The following is a 25,593-nucleotide window of genomic DNA, read 5'->3' as shown; positions in this document are numbered from 1 at the left end:
GCATGCATCCTCAGTATCCTGGGAGGGGCCTGCAGGAGGTGAGCACAGCCCGCTTCCCCAGCCTGTTGGGGGGCCCTGAGTGATGGAGACTGTCCAGGGCAGCACTGGGCAAACCCAAGGAAGTGCTGCAGAATCCAGCCCCTCCTGACCCTCTTTCTCCTGGGGCTTCTCTAAATCTCCCAGGGAAGCTCTTCCAAAACCACAGGCAGCTCAATTCCCTGTCCAAACCTCCACTCTTCCAGCCTGGTCTCCAGTCACCAGAACCTTCCAGCTGAGCTAAATTATAGGGGGGATGACTGAGCAAATGGGCATTAGGATAAAACCCGGGAATCATGCCTGGCAAGGTCTGGCAAAGGCACCATTTGAGCTTAATGACAACAGAGAGATCATTCAGAAGATGACCCGCCCCGCATAATTTCTGACTTGGCAATGAAAAGCTGGCATTGAAGCCAGCTGGTGGGTCCCACACAGGTCTATGTTCACAGTGGAAAGAAGGTTTTTTTAAATGAAAGATGTTGGAGGTGGACAGGGTGAGGAGTGGTCACTTCTGTGTATGAGATTCTGGCTTTTGTTCAAGGGCATGGAAACTTTGTTCAATAAATCTGTCTACAATGGTATTATCTAATGAATGAGAATGGAATTTAAAAATGCATTTAAAAATTTTAATTTTGAAACAGTTGGTCAGGTGTGGTAGCTCACACCTGTAATCCCAGAACTTTGGGAGGCCGAGGTGGGCAGCACTTGAGCTCAGGAGTTCGAGACCAGCCTGGGCAACGTGGGAAAACCCCATCTGTACAAAAAATACAGAAATTAGCTGGGCTTGGTGGCATGTGCCTGCAGTCCCAGTTAATCAGGGAACTGAGGTAGGAGGATCACCTGAGACCAGGAGGTTGAGGCTGCAGTGAGCTGAGATTGCAGCACTGCACTCCAGCCTGGGAGACAGAGTGAGACTCTGTCTTAAAAAAAAAAAAAAGTGTAATATTCATAGAAGTTGCAAAATTAGTGCAGAGAGTCCCGAGTACTCCTCACCCAGCTTCCTCTGCTGACGACATGCATCATGACCCAAGCCCACGGTTGAATGCGGGAATAGGATGCCGACACAATCGCACGAATGCAGGTGTCCAGGCTTTCTGCAGGTCCAGGTCTTCTCCAGCTTTCCCCGGGTTTTCACGTGCCCTCCTTTGGGTATTTTTAAATGACTCGAGAGTGACTGTGTCTCCAGTAGGGAAGCATTCCAGGTAGAAACAGGACCTTTCCATAGCAATGTTCCTCTAACCCCAGCAGCATAAACCAAAGCAGCCCAATGGACCACAGCAAGCTCGGGATTTTAGTTTAGTTGTGTGGGTTTTCTCCCATAGCTTTAATAAACAGCATTCCCCAGGTAAATGTTTAGAGACAGATGGAGTCACGGCTGCCATGCTTTTGGGAAGCCCTACAGTTCACAAGTGGCTTCTGGGTCTTTTAATGGGTAGATATAGGTGAATTCGTCAGATATCTTGCTTCTTTATATAACACCATCCAAGCAAAGTGGCGGGTGTTGTCCATCAAATAGCTCTTAGCTACAGTCATTAGAAACTGTTTAGCCATTTTTAATTTGACTTTTTTGGTAAAGAAAAACTTGGCATTACAACTCCACCTGGAGAGGGTAGGGGTCTCCCCGGCAGTGAAAGGAGCTCACTATTTACTGAATAACGAATGCAAAGGTATCCACACTGATGGTCGGGGACGCAGACGGGTGGTGTCTCTTCCCTAAATGGGCGGCGGAAGCGTGTGGTGCCCTCCTGGCCCCACTGTGGCCATCCGTCCCCCAGGAAAGTAGCTGGGAGAAAGCCCCGGGCCTGTTTTCTGTTGCATGCCCTGCACGACAGCTGCAATCTGCCCTGGTGTTTATAGAATGAACCTTAGTAAAAAGTTGGGCTGCTGAGAGGAGGCTGCCAGAGGGAGGAAGATTTACAAGAGGCCTCCATGGAAGGTTTTGGAAGAGCACGTGGCGGGGAATGACGGAGGCAAATGCCTTCTCTGTGTTGTGCTGGAATGCTGGAAGGGTGTGTCTGTGCGTGCGAGGAGCACGCCATGCCACGCAATCATCACACGTGGCAAACGCATGGTCACCTGACAAGAGAGCAGAGACCGGCGAGCAGAGACCAGCGTGGGCCCGCTGGCAGTGCCGCAGCTCCACCCAAAGACGGAGTCGCCTGGATCAGTAGGCCGTGGCCTGAGATGAGGCCTCCTGATGGTGAGAAAGCTCCAGCAGCAATGAGGAAACTGAGGCACCGTTCTGGCATGGAGCCGCCTTCCCACCTCTGTGGCTAGGGAGAGGGATGGAGGATGGGCAGTGAATGGACAGTGCTGGCCAGCTCTGGACAGCAGGATGCATGCCGCCTGTCACCTGGTGTGGGTTGCCTTCCCTGGCACCCTCCCTCCTGCTCCTTCCTCTGCTCCTGGAGGCCGGTGGCTGATGGAGCTACCAACTGGTCTGCAGGCCACATCCTGATGCCAGGGCACTGCCAGATGCACCTGCGTGTCGGCAGCTTTGTGTGCTTTCCCTGCACTCTGTGTACAGCAGAACACTGCAGAGGGCTCCGGCCCACCCGGTAGTAAGTGTTAGACTAATCAACTGGCCAGGATAACTTCAAAAATAAAAAACCGAAGGGAGAGAGGAGCAGATAATAAGGCCACACCGGCACCGGGCCGTCAATTAAACTTTCCGCGGAAGACAACAGCCCGCGGCCATTTCCGCGGAAGACAACAGCCCGCAGCCGGGTGAACAAGGGCAGCGCTGGCTCCCACCCGGACTGCGCCGTGCGTGCAGTTCCGAGTGGGGCTGCTTGCCTGGCTGGGGGGAAAATGAATCAATTAATAAAAACAAATTACCTTTTACTAAGTTAAATAAAAGCTAATATAAATGAAGTCTCTGTGTACGTGGCAGATTTATGCTAACCATAACCATTCCATTCCAAGATGGAAACATTGTAATGTGATATTGAAAAAGATTGAATTAAACGTTAATGGATGCGACATTTGGTGTCAGGGACGGCGCAGCACCTCACACATGGTTACCGAGGTCACGAGTGGCTATTCCTCATGCATCAGTTTTCAGTGGCTGGAGGGGTTTGGGAGGAAATCTGGCCCCATCCCTTGGGGTCTGGGATCCCTCCCCACCCGCTCCACTGGCTTGGGGGGTTCCCGATCCGGCCTCTCCACGTGCCCACTGGGTCCGGGGCTAAGCTAGGGGTGAGGGGGTATCACAGCGAGGCTTGGCTGGAGGCCCCTGAGGACCTCAGAGGACGGAGGTGGACACGCAGGGAGCTGCCAAGCTGAAGCAGGAGCCCACGCCACTGTCACGAGGGAGGCCAGGTGGGAATTCAGGAGAAGGCCTGCGAATCTCTGAGAGCTCCCACAGACGGGACACAGCTTCACTCTCACCACATACAAACGATTCTGCGCTCTCTTGGCAAATGCATGGGAATTAATAAGCGGACCTTCAACCAGTTACACCAAGATCTATGCTCACTTGTGGCAGGAAGATAAACTCCATGAGTCACAGCAAGGTGGCCCGCAATGCTTGCAGACCTCCAACAGGAAATGCGACTAAAATCAGCACAGGCCGGCCGTTGCACTGCCTGTTGGCAACACAGTGGGGGCCGATCACCAAACCTGGGTCAGAGAGATACAGACGGCCGGGCTCACGAACCAGAGATCCTGAGAGGCTCTTCCAGGCTGCAGGGGGGCCCACACCCACCCCCCTCTTATTATGAATTAATTGTGGTTTGTTCTGATTTGAAGATGGCTAGTTTCAGCCAGGCTCATGAACCAGAGATCCTGGGTTCAAATCCCAGTGACTCCTCGACCTTGTTGAATTCAGGTTTCTGCACATCAGCCTCTCCTCTGTAAAGTGGGGGCACCACTGGTTTTCTTGGCGGCCCCCTGGAGAGTGAGTGAGTGAAGCCTGTGGTGTGCCGTCCCACGGTTCTCACTGCTGCTTGTTCACGGAGCTGGAGCTCAACTTGTAAACCTTCCAGCAAAAGAGAGACAGGGCTGACGCTGCCTCCCATCTTCTTACGATCCCTACAAACTCGCTCTCCTCCTCTTAAAATATACTCCCCAAGTGATGCATTTGATGGAGCTTTGGAAAACGGTGCCTGGTTTTGCTGTCTAGCTGCCCCTCCTCTCAGAGGCCGTTCCTGTCACTGCTGGAGGAGGCTGTGAGCACAGACCCGCTCCCAATGGGCCTATCTGGCAGGAGCTCAGAAGCAGCGGGACTTGCAGAAATATGCAGCCCTCCACACGTGCTGGAAATTAGTCATCATCACAAATGCGTCAGGGTAAGCAAAGAGGGAAGCAGAAGTCCTTTCTGATGGGATGATCGCAAAAGACACTAGCCATCTTCAAATCAGAACAGACCACAATTAGTTCTTAATAAGGAGGTGGGTGCGGGCCCCCCTGCAGCCTGGGAGACCCTCCTGTGTTCCCACCACAACCTCAATTCTACTCGCCCTTCAAGGCCCCTGGAGCTGCACCCCCGCAGAGCTGCACTGACCTGGGTTTGCTCCCTTCGCCCACTAAGTGCGGTTGCCTGTTTGAACTCTGAATTATTCCCTTCATTTTCCTGCCAGAGTGGGATGATTATAATCCTGCTTTCCCAACAAGACTGAAGCTCCTTCAGGTTAAAGACCTCTAATAAGCAGTACGGGGGGTTGTTAAGTCTTCAGGATCCGGGGCCTGGAAGCCTTGGCGTGCACTCTGATTTACCGCTTCCCTCCCGATGCTCAGAAGAAGGAAAAGACCCGCATCACCGTCACTGAGCTGCTCAGAGGATGAAAGAGGAAACTATGCGCCAAATGCCAAGCCTGGTGCCTGATCCATAGGCAGGGCCTGGTCAGCCTGACAACCAGCAATGCCAGAGCCCTCACTTGCTTAGCTGGTGCTTCACTCCGTGCTAAGCGCTGGCCTGACAGACAGCTCCCTTGACACACACACCACCCCTCCAGGAAGGCATCGGGGTTATCTCTACCTCACAGATGAGGACACTGAGGCACAGAGAGGCTCAGTGACTTTCCTGAGGTCACACAGCTATCAAGGGATGGATGTGGCATTTCAACCCAAGGGTGTGGTTCTGGAGCCTGGGTTCCTAGGCAGCACTGCCTCTCAGGGTCCAGCACCAGCAGGACTGGGCAGTCACCCTGTGCTGGGCTCTGCAGACAGTCCCACACAGGCGGCCTCCTGGCAACAATCTCAGATGCAGGTACTACTATCACCCCGCCTTGGAGACTGGAAGACAGATCAGATGGGTTGAGTTGGTGTCTCCATGGACATGGGCATTTCTGCTGGTGATGCCCACTCACCAGCACTGGGCAGAATAATTCCCAAAGAAGATGCTTGGTAGAAACCCGCAGGCAGATCAATGGATAGTCAATAGCCTAGAAACTGACACACGCAAGTCTGTGTGTCAGCAGGGTCTTGGGGAATCTCATACAATGGATCTGAGCCTTTCGGGGAACAGGGCCCATGTGGCCCAGCAGTTGGTGGGCAGAGTCGGCGGGCACCACTAATGCGAGGCAGTCATGTCTCAGGTGGGCATGACGAGGCCCTTCTAGACAGCGGTCAGGGCCCTGAGGAAGTGGAGGTTAAGAGCCCATCTCTGCACCTCAGTTTCCTCCACGTGGTAATGGGGATTATACCACCACCACGCAGTCTGCCTGTGAAGACACACTGGCGTCCTGCGCCCAGGAACTAGTGGCATTCGATTAAGGAACAACGAAAGAATAGACACCCATCTAGAGAGCAGCACAGGGTAATCGCCCTGCGATGCTGGCGCAGCAGCCCGAGAGGCAGCGCTGCCTGGCCAGTGCTATGAGCCCTCCTCGGGGTCGGGGCACCAGGGAGCCTCCTTGGGGAGCCTGAACACAGACCCGTCACATCACAATGCCTTTGGAGAAAATGTACCGTGAGGCTTAAGGAGTTAAGCATGATGGAAGGACAACAAATGTAGCTCCTTTGGTCAAAAAGGCTTTTGCACAGAATGATCAGAGGACCTCCCGCCGGCACCTGCATGTGCAGCTGCTGCAGCTGCCTCTAGACTGGAATCCATGGGTATAAAACCAAAGCCCAGAGGCTAGAAACACAGTGCTGGGAAATGACTGCTTCATGTCTAGAATGGAGACATCAAATTTTCTGAGAAGTCATTAAGTGTTAAAAGAGTGATTGAAGTCAGTTTTCAAAGACAGAGGCACACATCATCCTATGAAGGTCCCAAATGTTATTAAGCTTTTAAGCCCTTCTTCCTTGCGGACTGTGAATGGGATGCCAAGGGTCCAGAAATTTGTGGTGGAAACTTCCATTAAAGCACCTGGCTTCTAGGCTTTGGCCACTGGAGGGGTGATGGTCATACTCAGCGACTTACAGAAAGCCCATCTGGGGTGGTGGACAGGGCTTCATGAGTGTGCATCCTGGGAATGCATGGATGAATGGATGGATGAAGGATGGATGGATGGATAAATAATGGATGGATAGATGAATGAATGATGGATGAATGAGGTGGGTAGATGAATGAATGATGGATGAATGGATGATGGGTGGATTGATGAATGAATGATGGATGAATGGGTGATGGGTGGATGAATGGATGAATGATGGATTAATGGATGGATGATGGGTGGATGGATGAATGAATGATGGATGAAAGGATGGATGATGGGTGGATGTACGAATGGATGGATGAATGGATGATGGGTGGATGAACGGATGGATGATTGAACAACAGATAGGTAGATGAAGGATGGATGAATAAAGGATGATAGATGGAAGGATGAATGGATGGATAAATGGTTAGGTGGATGAAGGATGGATGGATGAGTGGATGATGATGGATGGATGATATATGGATGGATAGATGACAAATAGAAGGATGATGGATGAATGATGGATAGATGGATGGATGATAGATGGACGGATGGATGGATGATGAATCAATGATGGAAGGATGGATGGATGGACGATGGGTGGATGACGGATGATGGATGATGAGTGGATGACAGATGGATGATGGACAGCCTCATCATAACAGAGAATTTGGCCAAATTCCAGCCTATCTGATAACGTACCTTTCCTTTAGGTGGAACAGACTTAGCATAGGGAAGAGGTGGTTAAGAGCCCATCTCTGCACCTGGGAGTCCTCCACTTTATAGTGGGAATTATACCACCACCATGCAGTCAGCCTGTGGAGAGGCACGGGCTTCCTCGTCCTAGGAACTGGTGGTGTTCGATAAAGGGATGATGGCAGAATAAACACCCACCTAGTGTCCCAGACACAGTGAGTGAAGAATGAGCACTAAACCCTTGCAGTAGCGTCATGATTTCTTGCAAATTCTTTAGAAAACTGAGGGCCTTATCTGCATGGGGAAAATAGCGCCTGAAAAGGGATCAGGTAACCTGGGCTGAGGCATCCTCCCCGCACGGGGAGGCAGGCAGCTCCTGCCCCAGCCCCACACGAGAGGCCCATCCAGGGGCAATCAGCCCCAGAAGCTGTCTGGCTGTGTCTGTGCATTTGGGGGAGGGACCCTGAGGGGTATATGGGTTTTGTGAGGCACCTGCATGGGACGGAACTGAGAATAAATGAAATAAGAGGTAACTCAGCTAAAACGATGAACCCTGGACTGACCACGTATTTCAGGATGAAAACCATAAAATCAGACATATAATAGCTGACAAGAATAAGACGAATGGTGACCTTGAGTGTGCTGTTCCTGTCCTGAACACGTCCGACAACCCCTCCTTGTTCATTCCCTCCATGGTCCTACAGCGGCGCTGCCGTCATTCTCCTCACTTTGCAGCTCAAGGGGCTCAGCCACCCGCCAAGTTCCAAGGTCAGGAGTGAAGAAGGCAGGAATTGTGCTTGAATTCATCCTCCACTGGGGGGACTATAAACAAGTCTGACTCTTAAAAGCCGCCAGACACAAAAGTCTATAGGCCAGGCATGGTGGCTCATACCTGCAATCCCAGCACTTTGGGAGGCCAAGGTGGGAGGATTGCTTGAGGCCAGGCACTTGAGACCAGCCTGGGAAACACGGCGAGACCTTGTCTCTACAAAAAGTAAAAAAATTAGCTGCACAAGGTGGTGTGCACCTGTGGCCCCAGCTACACAGCCCCACAGGAGGTGGGAGGATCGCTTGAGCCCAGGAGTTGGCGGCTGCCGTGGGTTGTGACTGCGCCACTGCCTTCCAGCCTGGGCAACAGAGTGAGATCTCATTTCTAAAAACAAAAAGGGATTCCATTTACCCGAAGTTCAAAGTCAGGCAACATCTAGAAAGTTGGAATACAGGAATCTGGTTACCCTTTGGTGAAGGGATCGTGGCCACAAGGGGCCTGAGGGAGCTTTCTGGAAGGGCAGATGGAGTGTGACTCAAGCTGGGTGCTGGCCACACTGGGCTCTGCAGTCTGTGCAGAGCTGTCTGGTTGGGTACTAATCATGCCTGCATTTTTCAGGGCGTGCATGACATCCCAATACATTGAAAACACCCCATGTTACAAACACAGGACTCGCTGGAGGAGTTGAAAAGTTGACAGGCTGAGGGTGCCTGGAGCTCCTTGCTAGGACGAGGAGCCAGGGAGTAGGGGAGCAGGGGCTGTGTGGACAGCGAGCCCAGGTTCCCAAGAAGAAAGCAAGTGTGATCGCCAAACCGACACTCACTGACCTGGGAACGGAGCCTGGTTATTTTTAGTGCCTGCTCTCGGGCAGGGCCGCGGTTTGACATTGCACCCTGAGCCTGTGCTGCAGCCCTGTGCTATTACAATCAATCCGGCCTCTCTGAGGGTCTGATACTTTGCTTTAAAATAGCTCAGCCACTGAGCTTTCTGCCAGATGACCTTGTAAACTGTTTTCTGTGATGCTGTGACTCAGGGGGGCAGGTCTGAGGCAGATGTAGTTTCCAGGGCGGTGAGAACCTGCCGTTAGACTCCCCAACATGGACATCTGGCTTGACCTCTGGGGCTCTGCCTCCCGGTCTGTAAAATGGAAGCCGCAGCGGCATCTGGTGATGAGGAGTCGGAGGTGATGCACATGAGCTCATGCAGCGTCCGACGGGGGCTCTGTATGTGTGTGACAGATGTTGGTCCCATGACTGCTCAGGGACCATGGCATTAATAGACGGGATGTAAGGAAGGAGCAGGAAGAGGAACAGGAATGGATTGCTCCTGTTAGGGTGGGGCCGGTGGCTCTGTCCCTGTTTTGCTTAGTCCCCAGGGCGGACACCTGCCGCAGCTTCTAGGGTAAGAGAGGTGGCCAGCGTCCCCTCCGGCCCACGGCCCAAGGGCCTGGCTGCAGAATTAAGTCCTGTGCTGCCCCTCTGCCAGTGCAACGCAGAGCACGAGGCGAGCCCCTGTGGTGAGGGAGCTGCCTGCCTGCGGTGGAATCGTATTGGGGGGGCGTTCCAGAGCCCAGGGGAAGATGGGGCTGGAGAAGTTCTGCATTCTACCCTGGAGCAGCCAGGAAACCAGGCAGGAGGGGTGAGGGATGGCAGGATAGACTGCGGGATGGGGGGGATAGACTCCAGGGGAACTGGGCAAGCCACGCGGGAAACAGAGAGCGAGCGAGCAAATGAGAAAGAGCGAGAGAACAAGAGCAGAGTGAGAGAGAGCGAGCTAGGAGAGTAGATTTCCGACAAGAACAAAAAAAGCCAGACGTGATTATTTTGCCTTTATTTGTAACTGGGCATCATAGCCTTCCTTCCCAGTCGTAGCTAAAAGAGAGGCAATGGCCAGGCGGGGTAGACTACACCGGAGCCCTGAATCTCATCCAGGAAGTGCTGGACATTTGTGCCTGGGACTTCTGTGTGGAGTGACACCTCTAACTGGTGGAATCCACAGGTCAATTACATCTTTACGAAGGCCACCTGGGAGGGAAGGAAGGGAGGGAGGGACAACCGACTCCCAACAGGCAGCTTTTGTAGCACAGAGGGGAAAAGAGAAAAGCCCCACACCATCCTTCTGCAGCCACCATGAGGAGGGTCCCCCTTCCCATCCAGGGAAAACCAGGATCTAAGCTGATGAGCCCAGGAGGGTCCTCACTGGCTTTGCAGGTGCAGCCAGCAGTGCTCCCCTATCATACATGCAGCTTTTGGGGACTGCGGCGTCCTTTCTGACAATCTGGGACCTGCAGGTTCCTGCTGTATGCTCACCGCAGGTTCCCAGGCCACATCGTGAGGGTGACCACACAGGGGAGTCCCCAGAACCGGGAGCTCAAATGGTGATGGACAGCAGCAGGGCCTGCCGGTGCTGGGCCACCCACAGATGTTAAAGCTTTTCAATTGTTTGCCAAAATGCAAAAGCAAGGACATTTTGCATTAAACAAAAAATTCCAGTTTTCTTCTCTCTGAACTCGCTACATGATCGTGAATGACAGGCTCTGTGCCTGGCACTTTGGCAGGAAACCGAGAAGAGCTGGCGTCTTGTTTTCAGGTGCAGGGCAGAGGCCCAGCCGTGCCACCCGCCCCCGCCCCAATGCCAGGCAATGGTGCAGGCAGGTGTGCCCTGGGCCTCCAGGGAGGTCCTGGGCCCTTCCCCCCACCCCATGGCTGCCGCCCAGGTGCCTTTTGTAGAAAACATTACAGTGATGACCTTCTAAATCCTCCTGCCCACAATTCCAGAGCTGTTCTTGAGACAATGAATATCGAGGCCCACATTCAATCTGTGTTTTGAGAGGCACAATAAATCTATTGGTCTCAATTCAGCTGCATTGCCAAGGGTCATGTCCATGTACTTATTACCAGCAAACCTCAGCCCCAGTGCGTATTTGCCTATGGCCCTTTGACAAGCCAGTGATGAGACAGGGCAGGGACCCCTTTTAGGGGCCTGCTAGGCCCCGCAACATGGAAATAAAGGAAAATCCTGAGTGCCTTCAAGGGAAATTCCAGGCACCCAGCGAGCCCTGAGAAGTAAATGAGTAACATGATAAAAGCGAGAAGGGAACAGTAGCCTAAAACAAGAGCCCCCCAAGGAAGTTAGAACCACAAGATGTTCGTTCCCTATGGAAACCCAAGATAACATCTTGATCTACATCCCTGAACTGTTTTTCAGAAACCTGGACCCCCACCAGACAGAAAATGCCAACCACTGTCACATAGACATCGGGGGTGGGGGTGGGGGGGGGCGGGGGGGGCGGACTGAGGCCTGAACCCTGACCCCCATTTTTTGTTCCAAAATTCTTCCTGAGGGGTCTGAAGAAAGTCATACCCAGCAGCCAGACCTTAGCATTCCTTTCTGATGACCTCAAGCTTTTAGACAAATCCTTAACCAACTGCAAATCAGAGAATCGCTGGATCCACCTATGACCTGTCAGCCCTCACTTCAAGATGTCCTTTTTAAGCCACATATTGATTTATGATTTTGCCTGTAGCTTCTGCCTTCCTGAGACGTGCCCCTGCCTTTAAAAACTCTTGCTTGTAAGCCAGCCAGGAGGTCAGGTCTCCAGTGGGCGTTGCCCATTCTCTCTGCTTGGCGCCCTGCAAATAAATGCCCTCCTTTCTCCCGCTGTGAAACTTTGGTGTGGACGCTTGGCTCTATTGTGCTGGGCAAGTGGACCCCAGATGGGTTCAGTAACAGTGACAGGGAGCAAGGGAAGATGCTGTGGGGCTCAGATGCCAGGCCCGTGGTGCCTGGGACAGGTGTCCAGTGAGTGGGTGGCCAGAGGGGCCTCCACTCTAGGGAAGGGGTGGTCGCTTCTCACCTGCAGCTGGTTACAGCTTCCTTGGGACACAGGTTGTGGTTGTCAGATGCTTTTTAAAATTGTGTTTCAGAGAAAAGAAAACTGGTCAATTTTCAGAGGTGAGACTGCTTAGAGGGAAGGTGGCATGGGTTAAAGCCCCAGAGAGCAATGTTGTTGCTAGAACACCAGGGAGCACGGAATTCTGGGCCCGGCTTCCTCCTTCACAGCCGTGCGCCATGGCGGCCTGGTGCCTTCTGTGCCTTGGTTTCCATCTGCAGCCTGGAGAGGATGGCAAGGATGTGGCCTGTGGGGTTGCTGTGAGGTTGGCATGAGATGAGCACAGAAGTTCTCAGATGCCCCAGGCCCTTTGTTAACATTGTGTAAAGTCAACAGAGGGTCCGTTCCAGAAGGAAGTTAGCCCCCGCAGTCGTGCTGGCCAGCTTGCAGAGACCGTGGATGTTCCCTTTCCACCCTGCGCCCAGCAGCCTTGTGGCATCACAGCCCGTGGGCCTGAGCAATAGCAACAGGAAGTCCCTGGGGCAGGAAGGGCCAGACCCTGAGACCTCCTGCAGGAGGACAGGGCTCCAGGCCAGATGGAAGGGGCCAATGGCAGCTGCTGGCTGTGTGTGCCTGGAAAGGGAGGAATGGACGGCCTACCTGTAGGACAAAATCCCACAAGGTTTCCAGGGAGGCACTGCTCATTGACAGCACGGCCTCCTTCATACACTTTGCAGTTAGAGGGCACATGTGCTTTGAAAATGGAAAAAAACAAAACTCTACGGGGGCTCTGATCCTACTGTTAACAATCAGATTTTCATGGACTGAATTTGTAATTGGCCCAAAAAACAAACAAACACACAAACTGAACAAGCTCAATCACAAATCCATCCATGTCCCTGTGAAGACTGAGAGGTCGGTCCTCTTTCAGGAATTTTCACTTCCTGTGCTCACAGCCATGAGCTTCCTCGAAGAGTCAGGAATGGACGTGCTCCTGGGATGTGCGTGCTTGTCATCAGCGGCGGCCCCCAAGGGCCACCTGCTGTAGGTCCCCAGGCACCACTGAGAAATGAGACGGTGAGTCCTGGAAACGCTGCCCTGGCATGTCAGTGACTCTTTGGGTGCCGGTGTTGGAACATTTCTAAGTGACTACTTATGAAATGATGTTTCCCCTCGCCCCATTCATCTCCCTCCCATGACCTACTTTTGGTCTTTTATAAGCTGGCACTTGTAGAACTAGGTCATGATGTGAGTGGGGCTTTGGCGACAGATGTTTTAATAGACTCAGCCATTTAACCTCCCTTTCTTCTAGGCCTTGGACCAGATGAAGCTTATTATGAAGTGGAAATGGGCGACCTGGAAGAGGTATGGTCGATTGAAATGATCGGGTCTCACTGTTTTCCATGCGGGACAATCCCCTTCCCGGGCCTGGCTATAAGAACTCTCGAGGTCTTTTCTTTGAGGGCCACACTCACATACACACTCCAATCACTGCCGTGGTTAACCCTTGAGAGATGATGACCTGGTGAGGCGACTGCCCACACAGCCTTGATTAGAGAGCGTTCAGGATCCATGGACCAAACCACCGGGCAGCCCAGGAACCCAGCTGCAGGACAGGAGCCTCGCCCCAGTTTACTACTCAGCATCCTTAAGAGCCAGCAAGCTCAACCACATCCCAGTAAACACACGGGCTTGATTACAGTCCTTGCAGGCGAGGAAACAAGAATAAATCAATGCGGATGGAGGGTGTTCTCGGCCTACTGTGAAATCTCAGGATCCCAGCAGGCGAGCTTCACAGTTCTCAGGGGCAGATAGAGGGGATTCTTTCTCTATAGGGATCTTATCAGGAATGTAAGAATTTTCCAGATATTTATTCTACAGTATACCCATGGAAAAAAATGAGTTTCACAATTTAGTGTATCAGTGCCCTCAGAGCAGGAAATCAATGCTGAGGACCAAGATATGGGAAGGCACCCAGGACGACTTAATCTTAGGCAAAGTGATTAGCTCTGTTTCTGATTAAGAGGCTCCAAGCTCTCTTAAACCTCTGCCAGACACTCGCCAAACATGAACATCTTCTCTCTCGTCTTTCTTTCTCCATCTAGAAAACGGCCACAAAGTCGCTTAATGCATACACATATTTTATGATTCACGAGCATATTTGTAAAATGCTATAAGTAGACTTAAGTGAGTGTTGGGAAGTACCCGCTGCTGGTCAAAGCAGAGAGAAGCTTCTTTGAGGATCTTTTTCTTAGTAGCTGCAGAGAGGGCATCTCTGAGTCTACTGTTTAGCCTCAGCAGTTTGCTTTAGGGGAAGGACTTTTTTAAAATGAATTCTGCATTATGGTGAAACACACAAGAGTTTGTGTGGCAGTGGGTGCAGAGCAGGGTCTTCCTGGCACAAGCCGTGGAGTTAGAGGGGCAGGAGGGGATGCAGAAAACGTAAGACGACTTCCAGGCCACTGGCCCCTAAATGTGGATTTCTGGTGGTGTGAAGTGGGGCTGACACTCCCCAGGTGATTCTAACGCGCACACATTCCAAAAGGCAAGGCCTGCTACTCCATGGATAACACGGTCCCGCCCTGCTGGTATATTCTACCTAATTCACTCATGATGTAGTTTGGATATTTGCCCCCAGCAAATCTCATGTTAAATGGAATCCCCAGTGTTGGAGGTGGGGCCTGTGGGGAGGTGTCTGGATCTGTCATGAATGGCATGGGCCATCCCCCTTGGTGATGATTAGGCTCTTGCTCTGAGTTCACAGGGAATCTGGTTATTAAAAAGTGTGAGACAGCCGCCCCCAACTTTCTCTCTCTCTCTCACTCCTGCTTTCATTTTGTGACATGTCTGTCCCCACCCCCTCACCTTCCCCCACCATTGTCAGCTTCCTGAGGCCACCCTAGAAGCTAAGCAGATGCTGGCACCAGGCATCCTGCAAAGTCTGCAGAACCTTGAGCCAATTAAACCTCTTTCTTTTATAAATTACCCAGTCTCAGGTATTTCTTTATAGCAATGCAAGAACAGCCTAATACAATTTTCAACCTGCCTCCTCTATATAATGGAGGGCACACCTTCCCGCCTCATAATCCCCCAAGCAAGTAATTCCCCAGCAACGCAATCCCCCAAGTAATCCCACTATGGGTCGTCAGCCACCAAGCAGTAATGGGAGCTACCTAGTCCTGAGGTCGGTCATCACCCCCGACACCCGTGGGCCATTCCTGGGGCAGTAGACAGTGGTTGCATTTTATGTGGAACGAATCTCTCTTCTTTATGGGATGCCATCAGCCCAGCAGGCATGCGGGCATTCCGATAGTAAACGTATCCTTCCAGCTCTTTGACAGAGGCTAAGGCAGGGGCTGGCCAACTCCAGCTTCCACACAAACTCCCATGCACCAGACATCTCCAGAGTCGGGCCTTGTGCCTTACATCACAATCCTCCTGGGCAAATAGAAACTCCCCTGAATGCACGTTCCTGGCCCCCCCAAAACACAAAGCACACACCAAGTAACATTCTCATGGGTGTCCTTTCCTGAGCTCCACGAGCGGGAGTGCTGAGCGCATAGATGCTGGCATATTGCAAATCACTAAATTTCCGGGTTGAAGCTCTTTCTGATCAGATTTTCAAACAACTTTAAATGAATAACACTCCACTGGAAAACACTCACAGAGTTACATAGACTTTCAATAGAACATTTCAAATGCTGAATATAGATGCAGCTGATATTTACAGCCATCTCCAAATGACATGAACCAGCCATTAGCTAACTTTACAATTGATTTTAATGAGAACCTTCGCCATATGGAAAAATCCCCCCACCCCTTTTCTCTCTTTCCCTTTTTTACCCCTAAAATATGAGGCTCTGCTCCATTACATCCTGAGATGCCAGCTGCATAGAGAGCTTGCAGCCACCAGCATCTGCCAGTGGAAATCCACTGTTTTCCTGAGACTTCGGTGGGGCAAGTGACCTCTGGACTGTCATATTGGACACCCAGACCCTGTCTGCTGACTGGTGCAGCCTCAGCCAAATCTTGCAAATTCAGCCTGTTGTTCCCCTTCCGTGGACTCTGCCACTCCTGTCCCTGACTTCTCCCGCCTGCCTGGCTTAGCCTTCAGCCCTGGAGTGTGGGCCGGCTGTGCATGCACCTCTGGCCTTGGCATGACGGTCCTGTCCCCCACCCTGGTACCCTCCTCTTGCCATGCTGCTAGGTGGCTGGGAAGAACCCTCCTCCCGCTCAACATTCACATGCTCGGCTTCCCTTAGGGCCCATCTCGAATGCCTCCTCCTCCTCCTCCAGGAAGCCTGGCTTGATACCCTCGACAAAGCAAGTGGCACTGATGCCTGTCTCACAGCTCACAGTCACCCACCTCCTGGAGTCACCAAATCATGGTTGCCCTTGTCCAGATCTCACTTCTCCCGTGTTAATATTCCCTGGGGCAGGATGAGTCCCTCCGTGGGCGGGTCCCTCTGAGGGCAGGAGGCATAGTTTAGGCGCTGGCTGACGGTGGGGCTCTGAGAGCTGGGGATTCTGCTTAGACCCTGACAAGGTGATTTCATTCATGCCCCAAGTCCTCTGCCGTCTCAGAGGACCCACCACAGACAGGCAGCTGGCTCTCCTGCTGCAGGATGCCACGGCCTTTGTGCCTGGGTCCACCCTACCATCTGCAGGGGTGTAGGGTTTGCTGCTCCAACCAGGCACAGTGAACCCCACACCTCCTCCAAAGACCGGCTTAGAACCCAGGCAGGTCCAGGTCCATGCTGCGAGCATGTACCACTGGGCGAGGCCTGGGAGAGAAGCTGCTCCTGCCCTGAGGATGTTAACACAGCAGCTGGTGCTGTGGAGGCAGAGTGGGGAGGGGGTGGAACCCAGCTTCCTGATTCCTAAGCCACTTGCCAACCCAGCCCAAGCCCTCCTTGCCCTCTGGGCTCCAAGCGGGAAGTTAGCATCATTTTTGTCCAGCCCTATCTGCCAGTAGAGCTTTCTGTGCTGCTCAAGAGCAGCTGAAGAAACTGCTCAAATCCCGGTGGCCACCCAGGCTGAGCCAGGCATTCCAGGTGGGGCAGCGCCTGGGCTTCACTGCCTGTCCTGAGGCCAGCCCTGCCTTCAGCACTGCTGCTTAGAAGCCACTTGGATGCCCCCTCCTGCCACCAGGTCCTCCTGAACACATGCCCCTGTCTTGGTTCTCTATTACAAACCCTGCCACAGCCTGGTCTGTCACCCATCACAGTGGGCTCCGCCACTGTCCACCTGCTCTGCTCAGGAGGGGGCCTTCCCAACCCAAGTGACCCAGCCACAGTCACCAGCTTCTCATTAGTGAGCTCAGGGCCGACCGCAACAGTCTTCAGCCAGCCAATGGGTTGGGGCTGGGGGCACCCGTGTGGCTGAAAGTGTGCACAGACACGAGAAGTGGCCCCGGTCACTGAGGACTGGCTTCTCACCCGGTGGGGACCTCTCCAGGCTCCTGTCCCCCACTGTGAGCATTAAGACCCAACTCAGTGGGGGGCACACATACTGCCTGGGACCTTCTGTGTTTTGCTACATAGAATCATTTGCATATTTACTTCCACTCTTAGGAGGCGGCAATGTCTCTGAAGTGGCATTTATTTACACACTGACTGATTGACCAAACACATTTTTAGGGACACGGGAAGCATGCTTATGTTTGTACAACATGAAGGGAAAATGCACGCAGCAAACTTGAATGCCCAGCATGGTCTCACTCTGCACGACAGTGCGCACAGAGACAGCAGGATACAACCCCATCCTGACAGCGACGTCTTCCCGGCGGTGGGGTCATGGGCGTTTTAAATTATCTTGTTTATACATTTTAAAGCGAGCCTTTTATTTTAGAATAGTTTTAGATTTACAGAAAAGTTGCAAAGATAACACAGAGCGATCCTGCCCTGTTTCCTCTGCTGTTTACATCTTACCTTAGTATGGAACACTTGTTAGAATAAGTGCCAATATGTTGTTATTAATGAAGTCCAGAGTTCATTCAGATGGCCTCAGTTTTTCCCCAATGCCTCTTTCCCGTCCCAGGATCCCACATGACATGGAGTCATCATGTGTCCTTAAACACCTCTTGGCTGTGACGGTTGCTCAGATTTTCCTCATTTTTGGTGACCTTGATGGTTTGAGGAGTACGGGTCAGGTATTTTGTAGGAGGTACCCTTTTTTTTCCTAGAAAAATCGTCTGTTTTTCTTAAAGTGAAACCTGGTGCCTGAGACACAGTGAACTCCACCTGTACTGTGGGTTTTACTTAAAATTTCCTCCTGCAAAGTACAGCAAACTTCTCAGAAGAGCAGCCCGGTCACGTGCTGCTGGCCAGCGATCTCCCGTGCTCCCGGAAAACCCTCCATCTCCATTTGGATTCCTGGCTTCCAATAAGAGCTAAAAATAAATCAAATCTACTTACAAAGTAGCTGTTGAGTGAGCTAATTTAACACCACGTTATCTGAAGACGGTTATTATAATCAAGATGGCTGCGCCTTGTTCTACCATCTCCTAATTAGATGTGGTACCAAAAGCTATTCTAGCTTTTAGAAAAACTACCTTTGGGGAAGATGTATATATTTATAGATGTCTGTTGTGTATATGTGTATTTGTATTTATTTTTAGTTGTTGCATCTGACTCAAGAAACTACATTCTGCTAAACAATCTCACACATGTTGCAAACTCATTTAGGAAAACAAAACACTCAAAAGTCTCAAAACGGGGCATATTTCACTGAAGCTGCACTGTTGGAAAGCCACCATGGTTACGAGCCACTGATTCGAGTAATTTTAATTCTTCCAGCAGCCTGGGGCATCCACAGCCTCATGTCTGAATAGGTGGACCTTGCTGTTTCCTTGCTCAAATCTGAGTATTCCAAAAATCTCCCGACCCACAGTGTCCATGGTTCCTTTCGCAAATGTTTAAACCCTACCCAGCACCACCCTGCAGCCTCTCCTTTCTCCCAGCAGTTCCCATCCAGAGTGAGTTAGACAGAGCAGGTCCCTCGAGACCCCCAAAAAGCCTCTCTTGAGTTGCTCTCATAACGTGCAGGTCGACCCTACGCTAGAGTTGGCTCAGCCTTTTCCTCCCCCAGCTCCTGCAGGCCGACTCATCTCTATAAGTAAATACAGCAACATGATCTGCACCTAGTAGGTACCATGTAAATATCCACTGAATTAATTCTTTGATACAATTAATTCTCTGATACAATTCTGCCCAACAGGCAAAGCTGCCAAAATGGAAGCTTAATCCTTAAGGGAGAAAGAAAATAATAATAATGTGGATACGATGTAATGTATTCAGTAGCGTATTCTTCAAATTTCTTTTACCAAATAGATCCCAGAAAGCCAGCTACAATTGAGAACCAGGTCACCAATGGTAGGAAATGTGAACTGAAGAATTATGCAACCAAACTGTTTAAACATTTATATTGCATTCGTAATGTTTCGAGTTTAAGGCTGAGCTATTACTGTAACTGGATTTTAATGAGGACAGAGAATTGTCTAGAGTTTTGTTTTTTGCATGCACCGCATATGCAAAGAAGATGCATGAGCGTCTTTACTCTCCACCGAATGCATACGTTTCCTAACTTGTCATTTTGAGAAAGATTCATTTCTGTCATAGTGTGTCTCACACACTGTTTACTCCCCTCTATGTAAATATTTAACGCAAATAATAAAGTCACTTTGGTTTTGTTCTCCACATTCAGAATTCTTATGGGGAGCAAATGACTCTCAAATCCCATCCAGTGTGAACTGCATTTGTCTAATTCAGCCACCATGTTTTCGTACCATCACCAGACTTCGAATGGACCTGGCAGATTCCTGCATGTCTGAGTTCCTTTCTCAACACATCAATAGAGATTTTCCACTTTTATTAATTGGGAAGAATGGAAACACTGCGTGGACCTTCATATACTGTGGGGCAACCAATAAACCCATTCATCTTAACATAAGCAGCGTGAGGACTGAATTTCCCTAAAAACACACGAGAACATTAGCGTCCTGGGAGTGAAGACTCTCATGTGCCAATTCTTTTTTCCCGCCAACTTGCAGTGAGCGACTGTGGCTTGCCAGGCAGGATGCCAAGCACAGGGTCAATCATGGATTCTACAGGAAAGAATAAAAACGGCCATGACCATGTCCCTTGGCCCTGGCACAGACCTTCCTAAGCAAGTGCTGAGTGGGGCACCAGCGTTAGGAAGGGTACTTTTTCCCTGGTCCACACTGACACTGGGGCCCCCTGCATAGTCCCAAAGCCCAGTGCCGCCTCCTCCATCTGCAGTGCTAATTTGTCTCCTTAAGATCACAGGCTGCAAAGACAAAAGAGAGTCGCCCTCAGAACCTTTCATTCCTGAACTTAACACTATGCTCCCATTGATTGGATTCCAAAGCGGGCCGTCCTGAAGCTACGCCTAACTCCTAGAAACGCTCTGAAGCATACTGAATCTGCATTCAGAGGGTTCAGGGTTCCTTTCCACCCTCTAGACAGGCTGGTAGCAGAATGCCAGGCTGATGACGGTGCTGCTCTCTCCTGCTCTCGTCTTCATTTAACTCTTTTTAGCCATCACTTTGCTGTAAACGGTGAAACACCCCACAATGAACCAAATCCACCCAATGAGCCTCGCTTGCGTCACCCACCTCCCTTCCCAGACATGAGTGAAAGCAGATGCGGATTTTAAAATAATCTCCACCAGGAAAACAGCCTCCAGCCCTACATCTTAAGCAAAATGTTAAAGAGCAAACAATGAACACTGAGCTGTGTAACGAAAGAGAAGCCCCCTCCCCAACATTTGCAGCGCTTTGAGTGGCCTGACTTTGCTGTTTCATCTTTTATTTTCCCCATTAAACCAGACACTTCTTCTAAATCAAGCCCTTGGAGAGGAAACGGTGAAGGTGATGAGGACGCGTGTACGGGTATGGAAGCGGAGCGTGTGCTTTCTGACCAACTCTGTGCCGAGATCAAGGGTAGTGCCACCACGCACAGCCATCAGGAAAGAGTCCATGTAATTGTTCTTCTGGTACCAATTTAGGCCATTAGTCAGATTTGCATGTGGCAAAGACGCTGTCACTGCAACGTCCAGATTGTGCCTGACATGCAGGTGGGGCTGGATGTTTAACGAGGGGCTGGGGCCTGGATCCTCCGCTCTGCTGAAAAGCAGCCACCACACGTGTCTGCGCCTGGAGGAATGCGGTCAGGATGAAACGGATCCATTGCCTACGGTGGGATCTTGGGCAGTCACAACCTCTATGGGCTTCAAAAGCCACCCCCTGCCCCCCGTTGAGATCCCCTGAGTTAAAGGAAGAGAAGGCCCAGGATGTCACCACAAACACCCCACCTCTATCTAAGGTCATGTTTAAGGAGCCATCCCAAGCATCATTTTAGCTGTAGATGTGTCTCTGGAGACAGTGAGAAAAAAACCACAATCCGAACATCTGAGTATCTAATAGGCTTCCTTGAGAGAGGAACCTCCTGAATTTCAGGCTAAGCCAGCCTCAGCCATAGGAAGACATGGGCAACACAGAGGGCAGCAGAGGCTCGCGCCCCAGTGTGTGGCCGGCCACGGAGCCAGCCCCGTTGGAACAGGCTCCAGTCTTCAGTACTACCTGCGGGATCTGAGGCACAGAGCTCTGAGATCCTGAAGGCCCTCCAAGAAAGTTGCAAATAGTGAGGTCCTTGTTCCCAAGACAGGCGTGCCTCGGTCCAACAACAGGACATGGGGAAGGCTGCTGTGGTCTAGGGATGGCGAGTGGGATGGGGGCGTATCTCTGGCCCCTATAGAAAACCAGACCATAAGCAAAGGCCTCCTTGGCCGACCTGGCTCATGTTCTTCTCCCTGTTTGGGTGAGCCAAAGACGCAGAGTTCAGACAGCAAAAACACCTTCACGCTGTGGGAACAGATGCCAATCCTCAGATGAAATTCACAAGAAAATTGTGTCCACTGTACCCACAGGCTTGACATGTTAATAACATTCAATACAAATTGTTTAATAAACAGTAATTATGTAATTTATATCATTAGTTATTAATAATTTAGTTAATGATAAATAAGAATTATCCCAATGCATAGAGAATGTGGCTCATTCTATGTTGGAGTCAATTACCCTAAAGCCAAATGTTATTCCCTGAATTCAAGGTTAAAGTATGACCTATGTCCTTATGACATATTACCTCTAACATATGACCTACATCCTTCTGTGAGACTTGAGGAGATTTAGGGTCAGTGATGACCCGACGCCAACATCCAGGACACACTTACTCTTCAGCATTCATGATCCCAAATACCACACTCATGCCGGACAAACATCTGGGTTGCTTTTTCAAAAGAAATTTTCTCTTCACTTTCAGTAATGCTGGCTGATTATCTTTACTTTTACGACCCCTTTTCCTATTTTCCCTTGTCCTTTTTTGAAAGCATATCCTTCATATTTGCAATGTGGAGCAGCTGATTGAAGATCTAATGGATGCTTGCCTGACTCACCTGTTGCTCCACCTGCAACTATGAACGGACACATTTCCTGTGGGCCCACGTTGAGCTTCTTCTCTCCCCAAAGACCTCGCCCTGATCACGTATATCCCGTTTCTTAGAGCCAGTTGTTCCATCCACAAACACCCCAGGACATTTGCAGCCCAACCCCAGGCAAGGGGCCTCCTGCCCAGTCCTCATCAAGGTCTTGCTGGGAGGAGTACCCAGCACAGTATTTACAACGCGTCTATTTTTTTTAGGTATTCTAGGTTCTCCCTGGGATTCCATCAAGCCAATAAAAGAATATTCATTTAGGCATAATCATCTTTGGCGTGCAGAAATGCTCACGGTGAGCGACACTTCAGTGTGATCCCACTGTTTTAGTAAATAAATTGCCCCAACAACCACAAGGAACCCTCCACTGTGTCTTCTCCAGAAATGTTAAGAATGTGGTTTAATACATTATTTGATGTCTCCAATTCAGGAGCCCCAGTACAGAGTAATTCTTATGCAATAAGCTAGTTCTGGTAAGAGTAATTTCTGCCAGTAACAAAAAAGAAAATAACGGCAGTTTCTCCTTCGTGATGTTGGCGACTGTTTTGAGTGCTCTTATTTTCCTCTATCCTTTGGACGCCAGGAAGCTCACAGCTAAATATGAGTCTCACCAACACTGACAAATTGTGCAGTATCAGGGTTAGAGGGAAGATTTTCCACATATGACTCAGGAGCAAAGGGAACACTTCTTAACCACACAACCACAGACAATGTTGCATCTGTAACTCCTCTTTCAATGAGCTGGAAAAATAATCTCTAGCTATGTATTTTTAACATTTTAACCCAAAACACTTCTTGAACCAGTGGCTACACCAAGAGAACAACCTTTGCCTCATCAGAGGCCAGTCCCAGGACAACCCTGGGAAACAGAAAGCAAATTCCCAGAAAATGTTAAAGATTTAGAGATGGAAGCTTCCAAGCTACACTCAGGAAAAACGACAAAGTAGACCACCAGGCTGCTAAGATGGGAAAAGCACCTTACAGCAGGAGCAGGTTTTGAAGTTCACATTGAAACTCTGTGTTCTATCTCATTTGGGCCTTGTAGATGCTGCATTGGAGCAGAGAGTCATCATTTCCTATGATGGTTTCTCAGGTTAGATCGTCCACGTCAACTGCTTTTTTTCTGGCTCACTGCTTAGCTATCTCATCCCACCCCTGTCCCCCACTCCACTTCTTCATTTGCACAAGTTTGACCATGAAAGATCATGCAATGCCATCAGTCTTGGAAACTGTGACCCACAGCCCTCACGCGCCCACTAAAGGGTAACGGCCTGGGCTAACGTGCCCACTCGGTTCATCTTACTTTACACGGGGTCCTCACTCAGGCATTCCTCAGAGGAGCTGGGGGAGTGGAGAACATGTTCTCGCAGGCGCAACAGGTATATACAAGGACACACGTGTCCAGCGTTAGCACCGGAATCACTTACCTAGAAAGGAGAGAACAGAAAAGTTTCATTAGTCGCGTCTGGTGGTCCGTCCCATAATGAGTGGCTCCCTAACGAATGGTGGAGGCAGTGGCGGGGTGGTGCTTGTGAAGATAGCTAGTATTCCAGTACCCTCTTCTAGTTCACAGGGCACGGCATGCTTTCCGGAACACGCTGCTTCTGTGTGGCCTTTGAGTCTCACCACAGCTCTGTTAGGCAACTGGAGTCAGCGTCTCCGGGCCGCAGAGATGCAGGCCCAAAGGTTCTGAGATTCAGCAAGGATGAGGGGGCAGAGACGGCAGCAGCCGTCTCCTGAATCTCAGCCAGGCCTCGTTCCAGCTACATCGCTCACCTAATAAATTCTTCCCACCTGGACTCTCCGTGGCCAAGTACGTAGCCAGGTAAACACCAACACTTTTCAGCATTTCCCAAGCAGGCCACACTCCATTTGTCTCAGTCACCCCAATGCTCTCTCTTTCCACCCGTCTCTAACCGCTGTTCTGCACGGAAGCCAGAGGCAATAATGTATTAGCTGTATTATCGCAGGCTGCAGGCTTCAAGGAATGATTGCCATTTAAACTATGAAGCTCTAAACATCAGATAAGGAGACTGGAGATGGCGGATGGCAGCGCCACCTCCCCCAGCCTGAGTCTATTGTAGCTCAGAGCAGGAGCGGATGTGGCCTGTTTTGGGCTCTACAGAAACATGTTTCTGGTCTTAACCAGAGAAGACCTTGGAAATCATGAACCGTCTGTCGGAGAAGAAAGTTCTCTCCTCCCCATTTCACCAGAGCCATTCCCAAGGGCCTGCCTGCTGTGGACACAGGAATGACACGATGTCAAGGAGAGATATGCTTAGCACAATGCTGCAAAGAGAGCTGAGTGCTCAGGAATTTGAAGAGTTTCCATTTCCTGCCTCCACATCAAGAGCGGCTGCGTGGGCCTGAGGGCATGCCTGCACTGGGGGCTGGATGTCCCAGTGCCAGTTCAACCTCAAGGCTCATTCTGGATGGGCTGTGAGGCTATACGTCAAGTACTTGACACGCCAACGATATGAAGGAAACAGGATTTATAAAGACTAAATATTAACATGCACAGAAAATGCCTCTGCCTAATGCTGCAGAGACAGTTCCTCTTCCCATCAGTCACACAGCCCTACCTTCTTATGATACGCAGGTGTCTGTGCCTCTCAGAGGTCTTTTCCTCTCTGTGTCTTGAGAGGAAAGAGCACACATTGCAGAATGCAGACATTCCCTTCCTTCTGTGTTTTCCCAGCACAACAAATATACCTGGTTACTCAAGTCTCTTTGCAGTGAGCTGCAGGGCCTGAGACAGGACCCAGAGTCGGCACAGGCAGCCACCCAGGTGGAAAGACACTGCATTTTGTTTCTCTCCCTCTCCACGCCCGTGATGTGGAATTGTAATGAGCAACTACTGGGGACTCTGTTCCCAAACAAGCATCTTAATTCACGCTGCAATTCCGAACGCGAGTGAGCAATGGCTTTATAATTGGTGATCATTGTGCACGTGGCTGCCTTGGTGCCCATCCTTTATCAGCACCGTGCATCCTCTGAAAAATTTAATTTCCATTTCCCAGTGCAGCTTATGATGATACTTCCATTATTTGACAAACACAACAGTAGTATGAACATGTTACTGACACACGGGACCATCCCGAGGCCAGGGGACGCCCTGCTCCATTCGGCTGGGCCTCCTCCTCCTGGCTGAGGATGCCACAGTGATTCCGACAGGGAAGTGACAGCCCTCACACCCAGCGCTGTTGTCATAGCAACAAGAGTCATAAAACTAATAATAATAGTTCTCATGGCCTAGCGCATGACTCAGGGACATGTAAGCTGCGCCCGTGCCTCCTGGGTGCTTTGCATAATGGTGCCACTGACCCTTCCAACCACCCCTGCCACAGACAGAATCGATGCCCACATCTGGAGGGGAGAAA

The 25,593-nt window shown here is 50.7% G+C and overlaps 1 protein-coding gene across 4 annotated transcripts in view, besides 2 other annotated features; it reads right to left on the bottom strand.

Moving 5' to 3' along the window:
- Positions 1-25,593, bottom strand: part of CDH4 (cadherin 4) — a 688,357-nt gene that overhangs the window by 415,156 nt on the left and 247,608 nt on the right. The window lies entirely within an intron of this gene.
- Positions 11,403-11,912: an enhancer, noted in NCBI's record as "H3K4me1 hESC enhancer chr20:60088606-60089115 (GRCh37/hg19 assembly coordinates)". NCBI's record gives its function as "activates a minimal SCP1, AML or CMV promoter by ChIP-STARR-seq in naive H9 embryonic stem cells {active_cell/tissue: H9 hESC(naive)}" and the evidence as "EXISTENCE:reporter gene assay evidence [ECO:0000049][PMID:30033119]".
- Positions 23,487-24,686: an enhancer, noted in NCBI's record as "CDK7 strongly-dependent group 2 enhancer chr20:60075832-60077031 (GRCh37/hg19 assembly coordinates)". NCBI's record gives its function as "activates an origin of replication core promoter dependent on BRD2, BRD4, P300/CBP, MED14 and CDK7 cofactors, with strong dependence on CDK7, by STARR-seq in HCT116 cells {active_cell/tissue: HCT116}" and the evidence as "EXISTENCE:reporter gene assay evidence [ECO:0000049][PMID:35650434]".

The sequence above is a fragment of the Homo sapiens genome, chromosome 20, assembly GCF_000001405.40.
Source record: "Homo sapiens chromosome 20, GRCh38.p14 Primary Assembly".
NCBI classification, from domain to species: domain Eukaryota; kingdom Metazoa; phylum Chordata; class Mammalia; order Primates; family Hominidae; genus Homo; species Homo sapiens.
Note: the sequence above shows the minus strand (reverse complement) of the source record. Positions and strands in the feature narration are given on the sequence as shown.